Source organism: Homo sapiens, chromosome 17, assembly GCF_000001405.40.
Source record: "Homo sapiens chromosome 17, GRCh38.p14 Primary Assembly".
Classification (NCBI taxonomy): Eukaryota; Metazoa; Chordata; class Mammalia; order Primates; family Hominidae; genus Homo; species Homo sapiens.
In genome coordinates, this window is record NC_000017.11 from 65,133,457 (window position 1) to 65,157,677 (window position 24,221).

The 24,221-nt window shown below is 48.7% G+C and overlaps 1 protein-coding gene across 3 annotated transcripts in view, besides 2 other annotated features; it reads left to right on the plus strand.

The window, feature by feature from the left end:
- Nucleotides 3,604-4,103: a silencer, noted in NCBI's record as "silent region_8861". NCBI's record gives its function as "represses an Ori minimal core promoter by ATAC-STARR-seq in GM12878 lymphoblastoid cells {active_cell/tissue: GM12878}" and the evidence as "EXISTENCE:reporter gene assay evidence [ECO:0000049][PMID:35858748]".
- Nucleotides 3,914-24,221, plus strand: part of RGS9 (regulator of G protein signaling 9) — a 90,334-nt gene continuing 70,026 nt past the window's right edge. For all 3 annotated transcript variants that reach the window (NM_003835.4, NM_001081955.3, NM_001165933.2), the window contains exons 1-2: nt 3,914-4,141; nt 19,966-20,062. In NM_003835.4, the coding sequence (NP_003826.2) occupies nt 4,085-4,141; nt 19,966-20,062 (154 nt within the window). In that variant the 5' untranslated portion in view covers nt 3,914-4,084. The remainder of the gene's footprint in view (nt 4,142-19,965; nt 20,063-24,221) is intronic.
- Nucleotides 21,820-21,979: an enhancer, noted in NCBI's record as "active region_12607". NCBI's record gives its function as "activates an Ori minimal core promoter by ATAC-STARR-seq in GM12878 lymphoblastoid cells {active_cell/tissue: GM12878}" and the evidence as "EXISTENCE:reporter gene assay evidence [ECO:0000049][PMID:35858748]".

Genomic DNA, 24,221 nt, shown 5'->3' on the forward strand with positions numbered 1-24,221 from the left:
ACCCTCCAAATTTCTTTTCTTTTCTTTTCTTTTTGAGATAGATTCTCGCTCTGTCGCCCAGGCTGGAGTGCAGTGGTGTGATCTCGGCTTACCTTGGCCTCCCGGGTTCAAGTGATTCTCCTGCCTCATTCAGCCTCCCAAGTAGCTGGGATTACAGGTGCCTGCCACCACATCCAGCTATTTTTTGTATTTTTGGTAGAGACAGGGGTTTCACCATGTTGGCCAGGCTGGTCTCAAACTCCTGATCTCAGGTGATTCTCCCGCCTCGGCCCCCCAAAGTGCTGGGATTACAAGCATGAGTCACCATGCCCGACCCCTCTAAACTTCTTGACCTTGTGTCCAACAAACTCCTAGTCACCACCCTCAAATTATGCTAATCCTTGCCTCTGCACCTTTTCTTGTGCTGTTCCCTGTGAGGAAACTTAGCTTGCCCCTACACCTGGTTAACTTCCTATCTTCTTTTAAGACTCCTCTTCCAGGAAGCCTTCCTGATCTTCTCTTCCATTCAGGATGGGTGAGGTGCCTTTCCACAAAATCCTGTATTGCATTGACTACATCTTCATCACACATAGATTTTATTTTATAACATTTTTGTCTAAATATTCTTTTTCCACTTTAAACTCTGAGCTCTTTGAGACAGGAACTGGGTCATATTCTTTTTTTCTTTTTTATATTTGTATTTTTCTGGTCTTATTCTCATAGAAAGGACTGAGTCATATTCTGCTTTGAATTCCAGACTCTAGCAAAATGGCTGGCAAACAATATGTTTGTTGATTAAATAAATCGATGAATTAAATCAATTTTTTCCCCTAGGACACTGGCATGAAACTTTGAATACCATATTATATGACAGGCTCTTTCAGTTGCAAGAAACAAAGACTCAGATATGTGGGAGGATTCCAGAAGATACCCTTGCCCTTGGTAAGGCACTGACCCAACTTAGTCCGAGGGGCTTGTCTGTGTCATGGCCCCTCTGCTGCTCTCTGTTCAGCTTGTTGCTTCCCTTTTTTTCTTTTCTTTTATATGTATATTTTTTGAGACAGAGTCTCGCTCTATTGCCCAGGCTGGAGTGCAAATCTCAGCTCAATGCAACCTCTGCCTCCCAGGTTCAAGCGATTCTCCTGCCTCAGCTTCTCGAGTAGCTGGGATTACAGGCATGCGCCAGCATGCCCGGCTAATTTTTTTGTATTTTTAGTAGAGATGGGGTTTCGCCATGTTGACCATGCTGGTCTCGAACTCCTGACCTCAGGTGATCCGCCCGCTTCGGCCCCCCAAAGTGCTGGGATTACAGGCGTGAGCCTCCGCGCCCAGCCTGTTTGCCTCCCTTTTCTGATCAGCTTCCTCTGCTCACCTTTCATTTCTCCTTCCTCATAACTTCAGCTTGCATTTGGTCTCAGCTTCCTGTGGCCCTGACTTTATCTGACTCAAGTTGGCATTTGTGAAGGTAATAATCTAACAAGCTCCTCTCCGTTTTTCAGATCCACATCATGGTCCTATCATGTGGGGAACTGGCCTCTGGTCCAATGAGCAAAGATGGGTCCCACAAAATGTAGTTGCTTGGAGAGCAGGGCCTGACAGAAGGGGTGGGGAGGAGAGTGGCAGGCACTGAGGCCTCTCCTATTCTATTAATGAGCAAAGTGCCTTTTATTTTTGCCTCTCTTTGCTCCTGAATAATTTTTCTCATCCTTCATTTTAGGAAAGCCACTTATCTTCTTGATGCTTAGGGTTTCTAGAGACAAGGGATGTTGAAGCTGGAAGGAACTTCATAGCTCATCTTGGTCAGATCCCAGCATGTGCTCTGTATAACACTAGGCTCAAAAGATGCTTCATGAGAAAAAAAATCAAGATATTCCAGCATTTTCTTTGGATTTAAACTCACACCAGGCTCAAAAGATGCTTCATGAGAAAAAAAATCAAGATATTCCAGCATTTTCTTTGGATCTCAGCTCACACCAGGAGCATACTTCTCAGTGGTTCAATTTGCTTGGCAGGATCTCTGGTCTTCTGCTTGGATGGATCTCTGCAGGGTCCAGCGTCCTCTAAATTGGAGGCTCTGAATCAGGGATTCCTGAAAAGGCACAAGAGAGGCCCAAGCATGAACCTCTTGAAATTGTTTGCAAACTTCAGTCAGTGTTGTGTACATGTGCATGTGTGTGTGTTCCTGAGTGTCCATAGCTTTCATCAGATTCTTACAGGTAAATATCACCCGAGAGAATGGATAAGAACCACTGCTTTTTTTTTTTTTTGAGACAGAGTCTCACTCTGTCACCCAGGCTGGAATGCAGTGGCTCAGTCTTGGCTCACTGCAGCCTCTGGGTTCAAGTGATTCTTGTGCCTCAGCCTCCTGAGTAGCTGGGATTACAGGTTGCTCCACCATGCTGATTGATTTCTGTATTTTTAATAGAGATAGGGTTTTGCCATGTTGGCCAGGCTGGTCTTGAACTCCTGACTTCAAGTGATTCACCCGCTTGGGCCTCCCAAAGTGCTGGAATTATAGGCGTGAGCCATCACACCCAGCCAAGAACCACTGCTTTAAAGGGACATTGGTTGACTGTGCCTTCCTAAGGTAAAGGCCTTCTTGTTTTCTTCCAACTTAAACATTTTATCTGCTACACTCAATAACCATCGAGTATGTTTAAGAGAAAGTGCTTTATATAACAAAGCAGAAAGGCTCTTGATAATAACTTAGAGGCTTCATCCTTGCATTTTTCTCAAGATGAAAACGCTAACATAATGAGCTGTCAAGGTAGGTTCATCAATTGTAACAAATGGGCCACTCCAGTGGAGGATGTTGATCATGGGGGACGCTGTGCGTGCGTGGGGAGAGGGGATATATGACGTGTCCCTATACCTTCCGCTCAATTGTGCTGTGAACCTAAAACTGCTCTAAGAAATAAAGTCTATTAAAACAAGCAAACCAGCCAGCTGCAGTGGCTCACTCCTGTAATTCCAGCACTTTGGGAGGCCGAGGTGGGTAGATCGATTGAGCCCAGGAGTTTGTGAAACTCCCTCTCCACAAACAATTTTTGTAAAAATTAGCGGGGTGTGGTGGCACGTGCCTGTAGCCCCAGCTACTGGGGAGGCTGAGGTGGGAGGATTGTTTGAGCCTGGGAGGTTGTAGCTGCAATGAGCCATGATTACGCCACTGCACTCCAGCCTGGGTGACAGAGCAAGACCCTGTCTCAAAAAAAAAGTTAAACAACAACAAACCCAACAACCAACTAACCGAAACACTAAGAATCAGAGAAGTAAAATATAATTCGCTTCATCCAGACAGCTAGCCCGGTGAGGACTACAACCTTCCTCTCTTCCTTCTTCACTTCTTTGCTCTCTCTTTTTAAACCCACATCTTAGCAATTCCTCTGCTATTGGGTCATTAAATCGCCACCTCTAATTTTTTTTTCTAAGCATTTATTGAGGGCCAAGCACTGTGTTACACATCTCCTCATTAAAATGGTATAGCAACCTTTTCTGGTCGATATTATGATCCCATTTTTCAATTTTTACTTTTGAGTGAAGGACATTGATTCTTAGAGATTGTAAGGAACTTGCCCAAGGCTGCCGGCTGGTTAGTGGCAGAGCTGGGATGGGAAAGTCCGTATTTTCCACCGCGCTGTATTAGTGAGGGCTCTTTGTGTCACTTCTGTGCATAACTCCGCCCCAAGTTAAAAGGCTCGCTGCTCTCGACAGGTCCTCCTCCTCCTCCCGCTAGGTCCTCCTCCTCCTCCCGCCAGGTCCTCCTCCTCCTTCTCCTCCCGGGGCCCTGCCCTGCGGGTCTCACCTGCTGCTCCGCGGGGTCCCGGCGGGGGCCGGATAGCGCCCCCTGGCGGCAGGTGGGCGCCCGCGCAGCGCATGCTAATGAGCCCGCGGCGCCGCTCGCGGATTGGCTGGCGCGGATTCCAGCTGCTTTCCAAGTCAGCGGCGCCTAGTGAGAGTCAGGGGGGCCCGGCCCGCGCCCTCCCCGCCCAGCCGCCTCCCCGTCGACGCCCAGGGCTGGGGCGAGCCAGGCTGCCTTTCGAACTTGGGGGGCTTCTCCTCTTGTCTCCCACTGGTGCTCTGGCTGTGAATCCATCCAGGGGCCAGGATGACAATCCGACACCAAGGCCAGCAGTACAGGCCGAGGATGGCATTTCTCCAAAAGGTAACCCTGGCCCCTCACCTGGACCCTGGGAGGAGGGCGGGGGACCGCATCTGCGAAGCGTCCGAGGACAAGAGGGGCAGGAGTGGAGAGCACCCCTTTGGGTCGATTTGTGCTGCTCGATTTTATTAAGTGACTTCTTTGCTGTGTGTGTCGATATTGATGGCTATAATAATTAGGTTTTCGTGTGCCCTGCCTGTAGTGGAGAATCTGAAGCCAGCGCTGATGGTCTGCGGGAGGTGAAAACAACCTGTTACTCGGGAGAGGCAGGTTCAGTTCAGGCTGTGGCAGATTTGAGACAGCCTGCTGATATTGTTGTAAGACGACCAGATGTGACATTGCCATTTTTGCCTTTTTTTTCTGATCCCAAACTGCACTATTTTAAAGTGTGTGTGTGTGTACACATAGACCATGAAAACGGGGTGATTTGTAGGATAAAGGGCCACCCCATTTACAATGCCCTGAGAGCCCTCATTTGAGTGTGTCTATCTGTGCATCTCCTGCTGTCTGCGCTGGCGGCAGAAGTCCCAACCTTTTCGCTTCCCTTGCGAATGCTTTCCCAGACAAAGTGACCGGGCACAGGGTGTGCACACAGGATGGACATGTGGGAGGTGGAATGCACCTGTGGGGTGATGTGTTTGGGGACAAAGTGGTTCATTTAGTTCTGAGCTTCTGGTATAATCACTGTCCGATGAGATCTACAGAGGATTAGGTCCCGGGTCACATCTTTGTCCTTCCTCCCACCCGTAGCCACTTTTCACAGCGTAGTGTCCATCTTCTTAGGCTTATCTTGTTGAGTAGAATTAGTTGAATGTTTTGTGACAAGCTGAGCTCTCCCTGAGCCCCTGGAGCTCAGCAAATTTGTATAGTCAGTGACCGCTGTCCTGATTTGCCCAGGACTTTCAATGCTAAAACCTGGACAGTCCTGGGGACCCCGAGACGGTCGCATTTGGTCCACCTGTTTCAAGATGCTCGTGCTCATCTTCCGGGTAGCAGAGGTGTGGGTATCATCTGTAAAGCAGACAGGCTGAATGTTGTCTCACTCAGAAAGAACCCTGAGAGCCTGTATTGCAGATACCAGTTACTAAAAGCAGAAGAAACTGCCTAAGTCGGCTATCTCAAAGCCACACATCATCTTCCAGGATTTATCCTAGGACTGTCTCCTCCCAGGCAGGACAGCTCTGGCTTGGGGGCTCAGAGGGTAATTGTCAAGAGATAAATTCAGTTTGTTTATTGAATCTCTGGCATTCTTTTCCATCATGACTCTTCTCTGGTAGATTCTCCTCTCCTTACCTTGGTCTTCTGACTAGTGTCTTGGTCTCTAGTTTCTCTCCTCCACCCCAGGCTTCCCTCCTCCTCCCCAGCCACCCCTCCTCCACCCCAGCATCCCCTCCTCCACCCCAGCATCCCCTCCTCCACCCAAACTCTCCCTCCTCCACCTTAGTCTCCCTTCCTCCACCCTAACCTCTCCCTCCTCCATTCCAGCTCCCCTCCTCCACCCCAGCTCTCCCCCCTCCACCCCACCTTTCCCTCCTCCACCCCAGGTCCTCTTCCTCCACCCTGTCTTCCCCTTCCTCTACCCCATCCTCCTCCTCCTCCCCAGCCTTCTCCTCCTCCATCCTAACTTACCTCTCCTCTACCCTAACCTCCCCCTCCTGCATCCCAGCTCCCCATCTTCCACCCCGGTCTCCCCTCCTCCATGACAGCTTTCCTACACACACTGTTTTTTTCCCCCAAATCAATGGTGACCTCCTTGACCTGAAACGCTCCACTGGCTTCCCACATTCCCAGCATAAAGTCCAACCTTCCCCTGAGCAGCCTGGTTACCCAGGATTCCGCTCCCACCATCTTCCTGGCTTTGCCTCCTGCCTGCCTTCCACACCTGCCCTCTGGGAAACAACAAAGCAGCCACAGGCACCCCTGGGCTCCTGCCTCAAACACTTCCTTCCTTTTTAGGAACCCGGTGCCCTTTCATGCCTCAGGGTCCGTCTGCTGGGAAAGTCCTTTCTCCCCCTCTCGCTTGCCAAGCTCCACTTCTCTTCCCATGCCCAGCTCAGTCACCCCTCGGCTGTGAAGGCTGGTTCTCCTAATGCCCCTGGGCAGGACAGCTCCCTTCTCTGTGCACTACAGACCTTGCCACACCTCCAGCATTGCTCTTTCCCTAGACCTTGTGCTGGCAAGGGCCCTGTCTATGTATCCTCTATATCTATGTATGTATTGGTCATGTCACAGAGCTCCTTGGAGCAGCAGACAGAATAAAGGTCTGCAGAACAGGTCTCAAGAGCCCATGCCAGGCGATCCTTAATGAAGAACCAGCTACATTCGATGTTCAGCTTTCTGGAGAAGGGCCTGGAACAAAAAAATGTGGACCTGGGTGCAACTGTCACTCATCACTCGTTCCATGCATGTGATGAAGTACACGGTGTCCATGATGGTGTGGAGGGGTGGGCATTATGTGCATTATCTCATCTATTTCATTAGCTGGAGGTTATGGCCACCATTTTACAGAGAAGAAAGCTGAGGCTCAGAGAGGCTAAGCGGCTTGCCAGTCACGCAGCACTAGGTGGTGAAACCAAGAAGAAATACAGGAGTGGTCGTTGTCTGTCACAAGTTGTGGTGCAATGCCCTGAGCTTTCCCATGACGTAGGGCAGAGTGTGGAGGCTGTGGGAAAGCCTGGCTCAGTGTGCTTAGGGACACAGAGCTGAGACCTGAAGGATACATAGGGTTTCCAGGCAGAAAGGGAAAGATGTTTCAGGCAGAGGGAACAGTTTACGCACAGAGGCATGGGAAAGCTAGTGGGTTTGGGGCCATGTTCTGTAATGGATGGATTTTGAAGTGCAAGGGGAGTGGGAAGCTGGAAAGGAAAGGCAGAGGTAGTGGGTGCCTATGGGCCTTCAAGACCTTTTAAAGGTTTGGTTTTATCTCATACGGAGCCACTATAGAAATTGGAATGGGCAAGTGATATGGCAGATTTGCAAATTAAGAAGATCACTGGTGGGCCAGTTGCAGTGGCTCATGCCTGTAATCCCAGCAGTTTGGGAGGCCAAGGTAGGTGGATCATCTGAGATCAGGAGTTTGAGACCAGCCTGGCCAACATGGCAAAACCCTCTGACTATTAAAAATATAAAAATTAGCAGGGCGTGGTGGTGAGCACCTGTAATCCCAGCTACTTGGGAGGCTGAGGCAGGAGAATTGCTTGAACCCGGGAGGTGGAGGTTGCAGTAACTGAGTTCACAAGTTCTTGCCACTACACTACACTCTAGCCTGTGTGACAGAGAGAGACTCTGTCTAAAAAAAAAAAAAGGACCACTGGTGTGAGCCAGAGGAATGGGTGGAATGCCTTCTCCCTGAACTAAGAGAGTTCACTCAGGATCCTCCTGTGCCCCTGCAGCTCCAACCTCTTGAGAAATGACAACTGTCATGGGGCCATGGAGAGCCATACTGGTCAGAAAGGACCGTGTGCGATTCCCGAGGTTCTCACACCCATGCCTCCATCTCAGTCTCAATGCAGCTGTGGGTCGGGATGCCCGCCGGCCATGCTGCTTCCCACCTCTGATGCCTGGGCTCGTTTCAGATGTGGTAGAAAGAGGCAGAAGGCCCATCTGTTCATGGCTTTGCTGGGGAATTAGCTGATGGCACACAGTGGACAGATGAACACAGGTGGGTGGCCTCCTGTGGTTCCAGCACCCATGGACTCTTGTTCTGGGGATGGCCCATTCCCCTCTGCAATTACCAGATCACCATCCCAGCCAGTACCACCACCGCCCTTGGGATTCACCATGGGCGAATTTCTTGGACTTTCTTGGAGAAGCCTTCTGGTGACAGCTTTGTTTTCCTGTGCGGCTTCTGGCATCTCTTTTTGCCTGAGAAAGGAATGCAGAAGCAGAAATATTGAGGATATCCAGGCCGAGTTTGGTATCTCTTGCTTGTAACATTCTTTCATTCAATACAGACATATAATTGGGTACTTATGGGCTAGATGCTGTGCCAGGTGCTGGGAGCACCAAGGAGCTTAGAGTCTAGTGGAGAAAGACAGATGTATAAACAAGGAGACAAGAAGTGTTCCATAGGCTGTGGCAGACATTGTTGGAGGATACATGTGACACCAAGCAGGGAGTGGTCAGTTCTACCTGGGGTCAGGGGGGATCAGGACAGATTTTACAAGGGGGCTTGCAATGGAGTCGAATTATAAAAAGTCAGTAGTTTTTGGCCAGGAGGTTGAGGAAATGAGTGACATTTTAGGCAATACAAAACAGGGACATGTGAAGTAGCATGGTGGTTTGGGAGATTGCCTGCGGGTTGGGAGAGCTGGCCCCAAGTGTACAGGAAGTGAGTTTGGCGTTGATGGAGAAGACTGGTAGGTAAGAAAGGCCCAGATCTGCTGGGTGCAGTGGCACATGCCTGTAATCCCAGTACTTTGGGAGGCTGAGGTGGACGGATCACTAGGTCAGGAGTTCAAGACCAGCCTGGCTAACATGGTGAAACCAAAAATACACAAATTAGCCAGGCATGCTGGCATGCGCCTGTAATCCTAGCTACTTGGGAGGCTGAGGCAGGAGAATTGCTTGAACCCAGGAGGCGGAGGCTGCAGTGAGCTGAGATCATGCCACCGCACTCCAGCCTGGGTGACAGAGCAAGACTCAGTCTCAAAAAAAACCCAAAAACCAAAAACCAAAAACAAACAAACAAAAAGAAAAGCCCAGAACTGGAGGGCTTCCTAGGTCATGCTACAGAGTTTGATGGCTTCTGTGTTTAATGAGAAGCTGTTTGACGTTTTAAAATCAGGGATGAATAAGATGAGTTGGTTTATATGCTAGAAAGATGATTCTGGTGAGAGGGAATGAGTAATTCTCAACCTGGGCTGCACTTTAAAAAACATTAATATCAACTCACTCTACTTTGAGTTTCTGATTTACTTGGCCTGGAAGTGAGGCTTAAGCATTGGTCTTTTTATGCCACTGTTTTTCTCCCTTCCTTTCTTTTTTTTTTTTTTTTGTTTGTTTTTGAGACAGAGCCTGTCTCTGTTGCTCAGGCTGGAGTACAGTGGCGAGATCTCGGCTAACGGTAACCTCTGCCTCCCGGGTTCAAGTGATTCTCCTGCCTCAGCCTCCCAAGTAGCTGGGGATACTGGGACCTGCTACCATGCCTGGCTAATTTTTGTGTTTTTAGTAGAGACGGGGTTTCACCATGTTGGTCAGGCTGGTCTCAAACTCCTGACCTCAGGTGCCCCACCTGCCCTGCCTCCTAAAGTGCTGGGATTGCAGGTGTAAACCACAAAGCCTGGCCTGGTTTTCTTTTTGTTTCTTTCTTTCTTTTTTTTTCTTTTTTAACAATTTCTTTTTTTAGAGATGGGTTTTCACTATATTGCCCAGGCTGGACTCAAGCTCCTGGGCTCAAGGGATCCTCTCACCTTGGCTTCCTGAGTAATTTCATTTACAGGTGCCTGCCATCATGCCAGGCTTAACCATTGCTCTTTTTGAAAAGTTTTCCAGGTGGTTTGAATGTGCAGTCAGGATGAGAGCCTCTGGGGACATTTGGCAATGTCTAAATACATTTTAGGTTGTCATAACTGGGGGTGCTCCTGGCATCTAGTGGGTGGAGGACATGAATGCTGCTAAACATCCTACAACACACAGGACAGCCGCCCTCACCAACCCCCAAAGAATGATCCAGCTCCAAGCGTTGATGGGGCCACTGTTGAGAGCCCTGGGCTAAGGAGCACCCCGGAGGCTGGAGACAGATGCCAGCTCAAAGGCAGAACCTGATAGTCCAGGAAGGGGGTTAGAAGATGTTCCACGGAGGCAGGATTGAGTGGGCAGAGAAGAGATGTGTTGAAAACAAAAGCAGTCAGACTGAGCAACATATCAAGACCCATCTCTATAAGAAAATTTAAAAATTAGCTGGGGGCCAGGAGTGGTGGCTCACGCCTTTATCCCAGCACTTTGGGAGGCCAAGGTGGGTGGATCACTTGAGCCCAGGTGTTCGAGACTAGCCTGGGCAACATGGTGAAACCCTGTCTCTACCAAAAATACACACACACACACACAAATGAGCTGGGCATGCTGGCAGGCACCTCTAGCCCCAGCTACTAGGGAGGCTGAGGTGTGAGAATCACTTGAACCCAGGAGGCAGAGGTTGCAGTGAGCCGAGATTGTGCCACTGCACTCCAGCCTGGGCGACAGAGCCAGACTCTGTCTCAAAAAAAAAAAAAAAAAAAATTAGCTGGGCAGGGTGGCACATGCCTGTAGTCTTAGCTATGGGATGCTAAAGTGGGAGGATCACTTATGCCCAGAAGTTTGAGGCCACAGTGAGCTATGATCATGCCACTGTACTCCAGCCTGAAAAAAAAAAAAAAGGAAACAAAAGCAGATTCAACAAAAGTTGGCCACATCTTGGCTGGGGTCACCTGGAACGATTCCCAGGCTTTTGAATCGGTGGGAAGAGCAGATTTTGGAGAAAGACTACCGAGCACTGGTTAGGGCATGGTGCCTCATGAGTGTCTGAGCGTCTGCGAGACATCGGGTGAGACAGCGGGAGGGTGGCTGGACTCTGTGTGGCCAGGCTTATTAGCAGGAGTACATCCTCCTCTGTTAGAAAAACAACTCTGCGGTTCTGGGTCACTTTTCCCATCTTTGTATAGAAAAGTACCGATTATTATTGTTCCCCCGGGTGCCTTCTCCAGCTTAAAGGAAAATTCCAGCCCCAGAGATCTTCCGCAGTGAGTGACAGCTCCTTAATGTGAGGAGCAGCGTGGGCGTGGTGGGTGGGATGTCAGAGCCATCAAAGCCCTCATTTCTGATCCCTCTGTGATGTCGGGGTTCCCTGGCACGCCCACTGTCATGCCTCAGCACATTGGCATCTGAGAGAGGAAAGGTGCAGCTGACACCCTGACCCCCTTCTCCCCGACACGGGGTCAGACAGGGTCCCGCGGTGGCCTGGTTGTGCAGCACTGACATGTTGCCTGGGAACGAAGCGGGGCTGATGCTTTGTCTTGGGAGGAGCTGGGAAGCAGAGTCTGTTTGGGAGTGAGAGTGTTGGCCTTTGAGGGTGAGCATGCCCCCAAGGACACAAGGAGGAGAGTGCAAGGTCTGCTGAAGTTTGCAGCAGAATAGCAAGGGCATCTCACTCCCTGGAGAACTTGGGAAACAGTTCAGATTCTCTCCCCTCTGTGCAGGGGAAGGGATGTTTCTGATTGAATATAGGACACAGAGTCTGTATGAGTTTGTAGGGCTGTCGTCACAAAGATGCATAGACTGAGTGGCTTAAGCAACAGAAACTTCTTTGCTGACAGTTCTGGAGGCTGGAAGTCTGAGATCAAAGTGTGGCACGGTTGGCTTCTCCTGAAGCTTCTCTCCTTGGCTCGCAGATGGCCGTCTTCTCTCTGTTCTCACATCATCTTCCCTCTGTGTCTATCTGTGTCCTAATCTGTTCTCATAAAGACACTGGTCATAGGGGATTAGGGTCCACTCCATGACCTCATTTCACCGCTTTATTTTATTTTTTTATTTTTATTGAGAATGAGTCTCACTCTGTTGCCCAGGCTGGAGTGCAATGGCGAGATCTTGGCTCACTACAACCTCCACCGCCCGGGTTCAAGCGATTCTTCTGCCTCAGCCTCTAGAGTAGCTGGGACTACAGGTGCCCCCCACCACGCCTGGCTAATTTTTTTGTATTTTTAGTAGAGATGGGGTTTCACCTTATTGGCCAGGCTGGTCTCAAACTCCTGACCTCATGATCCACCGGCCTTGGTTTCCCAAAGTGCTGGGATTACAGGCATGAGCCATTGTGCCCAGCCTTATTTTTACTTTTTTGAGACTGAGTCTCACTCTGTTGACCAGGCTGGCGTGCAGTGGCTTGATATCGTCTCAGTGCAACCTCTGCCTCCCGGGTTCAAGCGATTCTCCTGCCTCAGCTCCTGAGTAGCTGGGATTGTAGCCTGCCACCACTCCTGGCTATTTTTTTTTTTTTTAATATATTTTTAATAGAGATGAGGTTTGCCATGTTGGCCAGGCTGGTCTCGAACTCCTGACCTTGAGTGATCTGCCCATCTCAGCCTCCCAAATTGCTGGGATTACAGGTGTGAGCCAGTGCACCTGGACTCATTTCACCTCTTTAAAGACCTTATCTTCAAAAGCAGTCACAGTCTGAGGTACTGGGGTTAGGACTTCAATGTACGAATTTGTAGGGGGACGCAGTTCAGCCCATAGAGCTAGAGTTCTGTGGTTTCCTGGGGAGACTGAGGAGACGCCTCAGAGGAATTTGTACGGGGAAAGGTCTGAGGAAAAAGGATCGGATCCCAATGGGCCGAACTCCCTCAAAATGTTCCCGAGGTCCACGTGACGTTCCCTCCTCCCACCCAGCCCTTCTTTCTGTGAAGGGTGACACACCTCCTAGAAAGAAATCTGACTCCCCTCATTGTGTTTTTAAAATAACTCTCATTATTCCTCCTCTGAAGGTTATTTTCAAACTCTTTATAACTCGATTTTTTTTTAAATGCAAAGACAAGGAATCAAATCTGCCAACTTTCTATCAGAGAAACTCGGGTTTCTAACTTTTAAAGTGGGATTATATGTCTTCTCCAATATATGGGCTCCCTGCTTTTATAACATGCTGCTGTTACATCTAATAAAAACCATTTTGAATGAAGGCAGCCTTTCATCCGGCAGCTAATGTGGGAAAAAGGAGTCTTGGGCCCTCATATTAGAAAATCTTGGCCTGGCGTGGTGGCTCACGCCTGTAATCCCAGCACTTTGGGAGGCCAAGGTGGGCGGATCACGAGGTCAAGAGATCAAGACCATCCTGGCAAACCTGGTGAAACCCCGTCTCTACTAAAAATACAAAAATTAGCTGGGTTTGGTGGGGTGCGCCTGTAGTCCCAGCTACTTGGGAGGCTGAGGCAGGAGAATCGCTTGAACCTGGGAGGCGGAGGTTGCAATGAGCCAAGATCCGCCACTGCACTCCAGCTTGGCGACAGAGCAAGACTGTCTCAAAAAAAAAAAAAAAGAAAAGAAAATCTTGGCCGGGCACGGTGGCTCATGCCTGTAATCCCAGCACTTTGGGAGGCTGAGGCAGGCAGATCACTTGAGGTCAGGAGTTTGAGACCAGCCTGGACAACATGGTGAAACCTCATCTCTACTAAAATACAAAAAATTAGCGTAGTGGCGCGCGCCTGTAGTCCCAGCTTCTCAGGAGGCTGAGGCACAAGAACCGCTTGAGCCCAGGAGGTGGAGGTTACAGTGAGCCAAGATCATGCCACTACAGCTTGGGCTACAGAGTAAGACTCCGTCTCAAAAACAAACAAACAAACAAAAAAAGAAAATCAGGCACTTCTTGGGTACCATGGAGACCTGAGGTCACAGTTAGTGGAGAACTCCAGAAGGAGTCACTCCTGCAGCCTGTTGCCTCCTCAGTTCCCTGGGCCACCCCCAGGAGCAGCAGCTGTACCTCCCAGTGCCCCGCAAACACCCTCCTGGCGTTGTCCCTTTGCTTCCCTCATTGCTGCTGGACCTACAGCTGACCCAGTGACCTCAGATGCTGCCAAGTCCTGACACTGCAGATGGCCAAGGACTATGGCTCTGAGTCAAGCCAAAATAAGTATTTTCTGTTCCAAAACAATTCTGTGAGCCGAGAATGTGTCCGTGCAGAGGAAGCTGACAGTCAGTCTTGCACCAGGAGTCCCTGGAGCTGCCTGGGTCTGCACGCTGGCTGGCTGTGTGCTCAGAGTGGCCTCAGCTGTGTACCTGCCCTTGGCCCATTTCTTGAAATCGTGGTTCAGCTGCAAATGCTGGTTTAGCAATAAAGATTGAAATAGGGAATCTCACCCCTCAGCATCAAGTTAGGTCATGGTCCCACGCTCCTTGGGAAGGTGGGAGCTTCCCAGCTTCAGGCTGCCTGAGTGACAGGTGGCAGGTAGCATTTTTCCACTTCAGGACTCCCTTGAATGACCCGTCACCTTGAATGCACCTGGATCATTCTCTCTCTCTTTTAAAAACTTTTTTTTTTTTTTTTTTTTTGAGACAGAGTCTCACTCTGTTACCCAGGCTGGAGTGCGGTGGCATGATCTCAGCTCACTGCAACCTCCACCTCCTGGGTTCAAGTGATTCTCCTGCCTCAGCCTCCTGAGTAGCTGGGATTACAAGCATGCGCCATCACACCCAGCTAATTTTTGTATTTTTTGTAGAGACGGGGTTTTACCATGTTGGCCGGGCTGGTGTCGAACTCCTGCCATCAAATGATCTGTCTGCCTTACCCTCCCAAAGTGCAGGGATTACAGGCATGAGCCACTGTGCCCGGCCTCTCTTTAAAAAATTTTTATTTTATTGTGGTGAGAACATCTCACACGAGATCTACCCTTTCAAAACTTTAAGTGCACAATACAATATTGTTGATGAGGTACAATGTTGTACAGCAGATGTCTAGAATGTATTCATCTCATTTAACTGAAAGTTCTTTATGTCTGTTGAGTAGCAACTCCCCAGTTTCCCTTCTCTCTAACCCCTGGCAACCACCATTCTGATATTTGATCTATGAATCTGTCTATTCTAGGTACTTCATGTAAGTGGAATCGTGTGGTATTTGTCCTTCTGTGACCGGCCTATTTCACTTAGCATAATTAGCCCTAGGTTCATCCATTTGCTTGCATATTGCAGAATTTCCTTCTTTTCGAAAGCCAAACAATGTTCTTTTGTATGCATAGAACACATTTTCTTTGTTCATCTGACAGTGGACACTTAGGTTATTTCCACATTTTGGCTAACGTGTATAGTGCTGCAGTGAACATGGGAGTGCAGGTATCTTTTCCAGAGCCTGATTTCAATTCTTTTGGGTACATACCCAGAAGTGGTATTGTTGGATGCTGTGGTAGTTCTATTTTTAATTTTTCTGATGAACCTCCATACTGTTTTCCACAGCAGATGCACCATTTTATATTTCTACCAACAGTGCACAGGGTTCCAATTTCAATCTCTTTCCATTTCTGAATTAAGAAACCTGAGTCCTTCTTATACCACCCCTCCCTTGGAGTGCGGCCTGGTCCTCACCATCTAGGGAGATTCTGTTGGCCCTCTCTGCACTTTTTTTGGGATCATCTCAGCCAGTCTGCAGTTGCTATTTTTTTTGTGGGTAGGTGTGGGGAGGAGGACAAGGGCTCCCTGTGTTGCCCAGGCTGGTTTCAAACTCCTGGGCTCGAGTGATCTTCCTGCCTCAGCCTTCCAGGTAGCTGGGATTACAGGCATGAGCTACCATGTCTGACTTGCAATTGCTATTTCATAAATACTTTGTGCACAGAATGATATGAAATGCTTTGTATGCTTAATCTCATTTAGTCTTTGCAATATCCCTACGATGATTGGTTTTGGTGTTTTTTTTGTTTTGTTTTGTTTTTTGAGGCAAGGTCTCTCTCTGTTGCACAGACTGGAGTGCAGTGACGTGATCTCGGCTCATTGCAACCTCTGCCTCCCAGGTTCAAGCGATTTTCCTGCCTCAGCCTCCTGAGTAGCTGGGATTGTAGGCGCCCGCCACCATGCCCGGCTAGTTTTTTTTTTGTTGTTGTTATGTTTAATAGAAACGAGGTTTTGCCATGTTGGCCAGGCTGGTCTCGAACTCCTGACCTCAAGTGATCCACCCGCCTTGGCCTCCTAAAATGCTGAGATTACAGGCATGAGCCATCGCACCGGGCCTGATGCTATTGCAAGTTCTATTTTACAGATAAATGAGTCCTAGTGAAATTTAGCAATTTACCAAAAGCCTCTAGCTTCTAAATTGGAGCAGAGATGTGAAACTGAACTTTCTCTGCATTCAGACTCCTAGCTTTCATATTAGTTAACTTTTCATTTTCATGTAACTGTCTGCTCAACTTTCTGAAGACTGGGTGTATGTCTTTTACCTTGTATCCTTGCAGTGCAGGGTTCTTAATACATGCTCAATAAATACCTATACTTATTTGGTTTGTTGACCTGGGTTTCTATTCCTGGGCACCTAAACACAACCCTGCATGCAAAGTTTCAAAATGTATTAGTATGAATGCTACTAATATTAATAATTCTAACCATAATAGTGAACATATGTCTCTCCTGATAAAGCATATATCTTCATGCATACATAACATATATCTCTCCTTATAGAGCATTTTACATAATTAAATTCTAAGGGATTATAAAGTCACAAATTAATTAAATTCTAAGAGATTATAGAATTCTTTAGTAGTCCACATCATGGTCCCCATTTTATGGAGAGAAAGGAGATTCAGAGAGGTTAAGTGAGTTGCCCAAGATCCTACAGTTAATAGAGAAAGAAAGTCCCATGGAGACTGAGTGCTTTTTCTTTGGACTGCAAGCAAGCACCTTCAGATCATGAAAGGATTTTGTAAATTGTAATGAGCCAGACAGTGTTGGGAGATGTTGTTTAATTCAGTGCCAGAAGACTAATGATGGTGTAAGCAAGGTGGCTAAATGGAGGGGAAGCAGGTAAATGGATGAGATGTTTTACTTTGGGTAATGGCGGGAATGTGGACAGACTTGGTGTGAGAGCAGCCATCCACGTTGATGTCCAGCTGCACGCAGCAGCCCAGACCTCAGGAGAGAGCCCTGGGCCAGGTGAAGGCAGGAAAGGGCTTTGTTTCCCGCTGCTGGTTCATGTTCTGTGCTTCTGCTTCTGTGGCCCTTCCACCTAGAACACCCTCACCCATGCTCCTTTTCTCTTTCTGCTTCCTACTCCTTGCTAATCTTTGTAAAATTCAACCTAGGAGGCTGGGTGCAGTGGCTTATGCCTGTAATCCCAGCACTTTGGGAGGCTGAAGCGGGTGGATCATTTGAGGTCAGGAGTTCGAGACCAGCCTGGCCAACATGGTAAAACCCTGTTTCTACTAAAAATACAAAAATTAGCTGGGCGTGGTGGCGGGCACCTGTAATCCCAGCTACTTGGGAGGCTGAGGCAAGAGAATCATTTGAACTCGGGAGGCGGAGATTGCAGTGAGCTGAGATCATGCCACTGCACTCCAGCCTGAGCAACAGAGAGAAACTCAGTCTAAAAAAATAAAAATAAAAATAAACCTAGGAGGAGTCCTTCTCTCCTGCCCAGCTCTAGGCACTGCTGTGTTCACATGACACCATAGACTCACCCTTGTCATTGCATGTTCTGCATTGTCCTAGAATATCTTTGCACTGGTCAGTTAGATCTTTGGGCTCAGGGACCACAGCTTCTCTCTGGTTTCCCAGAGTTGATCATGACTGTGCCTGGATGTCGAATGACCAGCTGACCATTGGCAAGCACATCTGGGGCAGGGGGAGTGGACAGCTTTCCCGTTAGTGAGGGCTTTTCCAGGGGAACATGAAGTTTGAAACCTCTGCACATGAAGCTTTGTCAAGATCAGTAGCAAACAGCGAATAACAAGAGAAACACCTGGGTTTTCTCTAGTCATCTTTGTTGACTAGTGTCAAACATCCAGTTTGTTTAAAAAAAAATCCTTCACGCCAGGTGTGGTGGCTCATGCCTATAATGCCAGCACTTTGGGAGGCTGAGGCAGGTGGATCACTTGAGGTCAGGAGTTTGAGACCAGCGTGGCCAACATGGCAAAACCCTGTCTCTACTAAAAATACAAAAATTGACTGAGCATGGTGTCATGTGTCTGTAATCCCAGCTACTCGGGAGGCCGAGGTAGGACAATTGCTTGAGCCCAGGAAGTGGCGGTTGCAGTGAGCCAAGATCGTGCCACTGCATTCCAGCCTGGGCGACAGAGGAAGACCTGTCCCAAAAAAAAAAAAAAAGAGTCCTTCAGCTGATATTATTTCCATTTGATTTTTTCAAGTGGGAAATAATTTTTAATAATAAAAATGAAAAAAACAACTCTAAAGATAGTCAGGGCTGTCCCTGTGGCTGCCTTCCTGCAGTGCAGGCTTCCTTGGACAGTTTGTTGATTCTCTTTAGCTTCAACTCTCCCTGACATTCATGGCTCTAATTCATATCTCTGACCCTGTCTCTTCTGAACCTGGGGCAGTCATTTCCAATCACCTCCCAGACATTGTGGGAATCTCAGAAGCCCCTTACAGTCGACCTTCCAAGGCAGACACCTTTGCTTCCAGAAGTGGCTTCTTCTTTGCATTTTCTAGTTTGGTAACTGGTAACTCTGGTCTTATAAGTTATAAACCTTGGCATTATTCTGTGTCACCCTTAGTGAACCTTTCAATCACTTGCAAATGCAGTTTATTTTCGCTCTTCCAGGGCTCTGAAAGTCATGCCTCCTTACCATCTTCCTGGCCACTGCCTCATTTATTTATTAATTCACACATCACTTGCTTACTGGGTACTATCTATGTGGCAGGCATGCTTCCTGACACTTGACATCCAGCAGCAAACAACAACAGAAAAAGACCCCCAGGAAGAGCTTGCTTTCCAGGAGCTAGGGGAGATGCACCACCGACAATGTATTAACTAGGTCAATTATTTTGTATGTTTGAAGACCACACATGCTCTTGAGAAACGGAGCAGGGCGTCAGGAGTGCCAAGGGTGGAGTTCAGGGTTGCAGCTTTAGGAATGGTCAGGGTGGGCCTCCTGAGACCATCAGAAGGGGAAGAAGGTGAGGAGGGAGCCAAGTTGGTCTCTTGCGAAGACTGGCCCAGGTAGAGGGAAGAGCCAGAACATGGGACCCGCCCAAGGCTGGCTGGGAGTGTCCTTGGTATGGCTGGGGGAAGGAAGGTGGCCAGTGTGGCTGGATCAGAGGGAGCCGGTGGGGAGTGGGTAAGAAAGAAGTCAGAGAGGAAGGGGGTCCCGAACATGTAGACCAGTAGGGGAACTTTATCATTTACTTGGAGTCAAGTGGTCCTTGCAGTGGAACAGCCACGCAGAAGAGTGACATATTCTAAAATAATGGAAAGCCCATCTGGCTGCTCTGCTGAGAATACAAAGAGTGGGAGTGTTAAGGGTTGAAACGCTGTCATTTCTTTTCTTTTTTAAAAAGAGACAGGGTCTCGCTCTGTCACCCAGGCTGAGTGCAGTGGTGCGATCATAGCTCACTGTAGCCTGGAACTCCTGGGCTCAAGTGATCCTCCTGCCTCAGCCTCCCAAGCAGCTGGGAACTACAGGCATGTACCACCACGCCCAGATAATTTTTAAGTTTTTCGTAGAGGCAGGGTCTCACTATGTTGCCCAGGCAGGTCAGAAACTCCTGGGTTTAAGCGATCCTCCCGCCTCTGCCTCCCAGATTTTGGGATTACAGGCGTGAGCCACTGTGCCTGGTCACTGTCGTTTCTCACCTGGGCTGTATGCAATAGCTTTGAATAGGTCACTGCACTTTTTTCTACCTCTGCAAACTTCTTCACACTTCAGTGTTCTTCTCTCTGTCATGGGCCAAATTTCCAGAACGCTCTCTAGGAACAGTCACTGGAATAAAATCCACACTGCAGGGGTGGCTTTGAGGTCCATGTGGTCTGGCCTCCACTGGCTTTTCCAGCTGCAACTCCTGCTGTTTTCTGTTCCACTAACCCTGGGAGCTGTCATCCTTCCATGCCTTTGCCCATGGTGTTCTATCACTTTCTGTTCAGCAAAATCCTTTCTTGTTAAGCTCCATCTTTCCTTAAAAGCCACCCCAGAATCTCCCAGTCAGGATGAATCTGCGAGTCTTCACATGCAGGGATGGGATCTGTGTCTGTGGAGCACACCTTAGTCCTGGTTGCATTAGAGTCACTCAGTGCCCACCTGGCTCCTGTACCAGATGGGGAACCCCTGTGTCCACCTTTGCATTTTGAGGTCCCTCTCAGTGCAGTGGAAATTGCCCTGCACAACTTTCAAAATTGTTCTCGTCAGTCGGCTTTTTCCTGTTCTGTCTTGCAGATTGAAGCGCTCGTGAAGGACATGCAGAACCCAGAGACAGGGGTCCGAATGCAGAACCAGAGGGTCCTGGTCACCAGCGTTCCTCATGCCATGACAGGTGATGTAGCTTGCACTTTAGTCTTGGCCTGGAATAGACCCCACAGGCCCAATACGGCCCACCTCCTGTGTTTGTAAAAAACTTTATTTTTGGCCAGGTGCAGTGGCTCACGCCTGTAATCCCAGCACTTTGGGAGGCCGAGGCGGGTGGATCACAAGGTCAGGAGATCAAGACCATCCTGGCTAACACGGTGAAACCTTGTCTCTATTAAAATACAAAAAATTAGCTGGGCATGGTGGCAGGTGCCTATAGTCCCAGCTACTCGGGAGGATGAGGCAGGAGAATGGCCTGAACCTGGGAGGCAGAGCTTTCAGTGAGCAGAGATTGCGCCATTGCACTCCAGCCTGGGCGACAGAGCGAGACTCCGTCTCAAACAAAACAAAACAAAACAAAACAAAGCTTTATTTCTAAATAAAGTTTTATTGGAACATATCCATGTTCACTCATTTATGTATTGTCTATGGCTGCTCTTACACTACAATGGCAGAGTTAAAATATATAGTTGTGGCCAGGCACAGTGGCTTACACCTACAATCCCAGCACTTTGGGAGGCCGAGGCAGGTGGATCACCTGAGGTCGGGAGTTCGAGACCGGCCTGACCAACATGGTGAAACCCCATCTCTTCTAAAAATACAAAAATTAGCCAGGCATGGTGGTGCATGCCTGTAATCCCAGCTACTCGGGAGGCTGAGGCATGAGAATCACTTGAACCCGGGAGGCGGAGTTTGCAGTGAGCCAAGATCGCACCACTGCACTCCAGCCTGGGTGACAGAACAAGACTCCCACAAAGCTGAAATGTTTATTTACTATCTAGCGCTCTACAGAGTACATTTGCTGACTCCTGGACTAAAGTCTTCCTCTGAGGAAGGGGTCAGGAGGGAGAAAAGGACTCAACAGGTCATTTCTTGAAGCCATTCCTCCCAGAAGGTCATTTTAGAAACCTTCACTGTCATTTTTTGTTTTGTTGTTTTGTTTGCTTTGTTTTAATGAAACCAAGTAGCAGAAAAAAAAATACTATTTAGCAGAAAAAAGTTGGCCTTTGTTTTGCTCCACCGTTTACCTTCTAATTCATTTCAGGCCCTTCTCAACTGCCCTGTGGGAGTGGTGCCACTGTCTCCTCTCTGTGTGTGGGGGTGAGGTGCCTACAGAGCATCATTTGGGGATATTGGCAAGAAGGGCTGGACGCCAATATTAAGAGAGCATTTTGGTTAATGTGTTACCTGTTTTCTGATCTTGATTTTGCAGTAAAGACAATGTTTCATACTTAGGCGTATTGCCTGCAGAAGCAGACAGCTTCTCATAGCCCAAGCCCGGGCCTCACCACGGCTGTGCTCAATGTGAGGCCTCCCTCTCTATGCCACCCCTGACCTGACTATTTATTTTTCACTCAAGGTGCCCTAGTCTTTGCAGAGACAAGCTGGCTCACAGCTTCCCCTTTCCCTTTCTGACTGCTTAGAAGAAAGGATGCCCCCACCAGCAATGTGTCACTCAGGTTTCCTTGCATGCAAGCAACAGAAGACCCACTCTTTTGTTGGAGCAAAAGGGGAAGTAATTGAAATGCTATAGAGCAGCTCATGGAGGAAAAGGAAACACTGACAAGCCAGACTTTGGAAAGGCCAAGAACCAGCGTAGCTCTGGGCACCCAAAGAGTGGAAACAGGGGGCAGACTTTTCAGGGTGCCTTTGTGTCCCCCATCACCTCAGATGCAGCTGGGGCAATTCTTCCTGAAGGCATCCCTGACCCTGTCCCCCTCCCTGCCTTTGACTGTCATTAATTTTGGCCTGAATTCTCTACTGGACTGGGGCCCTTTAAGGGAAAGTACCTTGTCTTGCTCATCTGGGTAATCCCAATGCTTCTCAGAGCTGTGTTTGTAACAGATGGTTAGTAAAAGTTTATTGAATGCATGAGTCACTTATTGTCTGTCCTTGTGTGGAGAGTGAAGGATTAAATCCTTCAGGTGTCTTTTCTAGCTGTAGCCCTGGTCTCAGTTTACTTTCTCCATTGTTTTTGTTTGTTTGTTTTGTTTTGTTTGTTTGTTTTGAGACAGGGTCTCATGCTGTCTCCCAGGCTGGAGTGCAGTCATAAAATTATGGCTCACTGCAGCCTTGACCTCCTGGGCTCAAGTGATCCTCCTGCCTCGGTTTTCCAAAGTGCTGGGATTACCAGCTTGAGACTCCACAGCTGGCCAGTTTTCTCATTTTTAATGCAAGAATGGCAATCCCTCCCTAAGGGAACGAGTGCAGGAAGGAAGTGAGAGAGTTCTGTGCAGGTGCTGAGTATGCAGTGGGTGCTGGATGGTGGTGGTAGCTAGTGCTTTCCCACACATTGTCTGTTAACACTCACAATAAAGTTAAGGGTAGATATGACTGCCCACTTTTTGCACATGGGGTTATGGAGACCAAAGAGTTTCAGCAACTTGCCTTCATGTCCTTAAGCTCATTTCATGAGTGAGCTTGAATTTCAGCCCAGCAATGTGACTCCAGAGTCCATATATATATTTTATTTTTACTTATACTTTTTTTTGAGACAGGGTCTTTCTCTGTTGCTCAGGCTGGAGTGCAGTGGCACTATCTTGGCTCATTGCAGCTTCTGCCTCCTGGGTTCAAGCGATTCTCATGCCTCAGCTCCGGAGTAGCTAGGATTACAGGCACCCACCACCACATCCAACTAATTTTTGTATTTTTAGTAGAGATGAGATTTCACTATGTTGGTCAGGCTGATCTCGAACTCCTGACCTCAGGTGATCCACCCGCCTCGGCCTCCCAAAGTGCCGGGATTACAGGCATGAGCCACCGCGCCCAGCCCAGAGTCCATATTCTTATCTACTGTCAGTTGTGCACCAGCTGCTTTCCTTCCCTGCACACGGGGCACACTTGGTTCCTGGATTTGGGCGAGGTCGCCCATCCTGCCATGGCTTCCTTGTTCCTCCTGCACAGGTGAATTCCAGCTGCTGTAGAAACAACACAGGGAGAAGCCCTGGTCCTGCAACAACAGCACCGATAAAAAAAAATTATTTAACTTCTTGGACGGCAGGCGTCCCAGGGCTTCCTCGGGACAAAGGTGGCTGATGCGGGAGGCTGAGCAGCCTGCCAGGCTGTCAACGTAGACCGCGTGGTACAGATGCTGGTGGCACCATAATCTCATTTGATCTATTTCGGGAGGCAGTCAAGTGGATGAGAAAGCCCTCGGCTCCTCGGTGGAGAGAGCTAATCAGTCTGATGTCTGCCTAGGTCTGTCTCTCTGCCTGCGCACCACTGTGTAGCATTTAAAGAGAGAGACTTGGTGTGGAAAGTCTAAACACCCAGTCCTAGGAGTTTAGATGAAGGATTTTGCTTTTGAACAGCCATCCAGGAGTGAATGATGCTAAGAGCAACAGAGGGAGAACCATGGAAAGCCATGACAGTGTGCATGTGGACACTGACAGAGATCATGGCTGGACATTTGTGTCCTAGGGTGTGGGCATGAAGGGAAGAATTACAGGTTGTCTACACCCAGCCATGGTCGTAGGCAGGCAATTACGCCCAGAGAGCGTGTATATGGGTCATAAGAAGAAATGTCCCTGCACCGCCTCCGAGGAGGGAAGTATCATTGGCAATTATCCAGACATAAGAACACAGGGAGTGGAGTCTCAATCCTGGCCCTCTTCTTTGATGTGTTATGTGGGCCTGTTTCCATGCAGACAGGCTTCCAGCTTGGCCTTTGGAAAGCAGGCTAAGATTGCTGGAAAATGTGACCATTGGCATCTGCACGATGGTATCTGTGATGCGGTGCTTCGTTCCAGGGCACCTTGTCTATCTTCTGAGATGCTATTACCTTGTGCCTACGAGCTGTACCTTCTGCTTGTGAGGTGAGAGGGCCCAGGCTGAGGGAAGGGGCTCAGAGCTTCTGTGGGGTCGTACGGCAGCTCTGGGCTTGTTGGTGGAACTTGGCTTGCCTTGACCCTTAGATAAATCTGAATCCTTGAGGGGAGCAGGTGGGTGGGACGGGTGTACGGGTGCACATTCTCTCCTGGCCTCTGAGCCCGCCTCTCCTGCTGTTTTTCATGCCATTTTTTCATGTTTTTTTGTGTGTTGTTCCCAAGCCAGCCCCTAAGATTTGCAGGGCCTGGGGCGAGAGTACACATGGAGCCTTCATTCCATCATCTAAAGTTATAAATCAA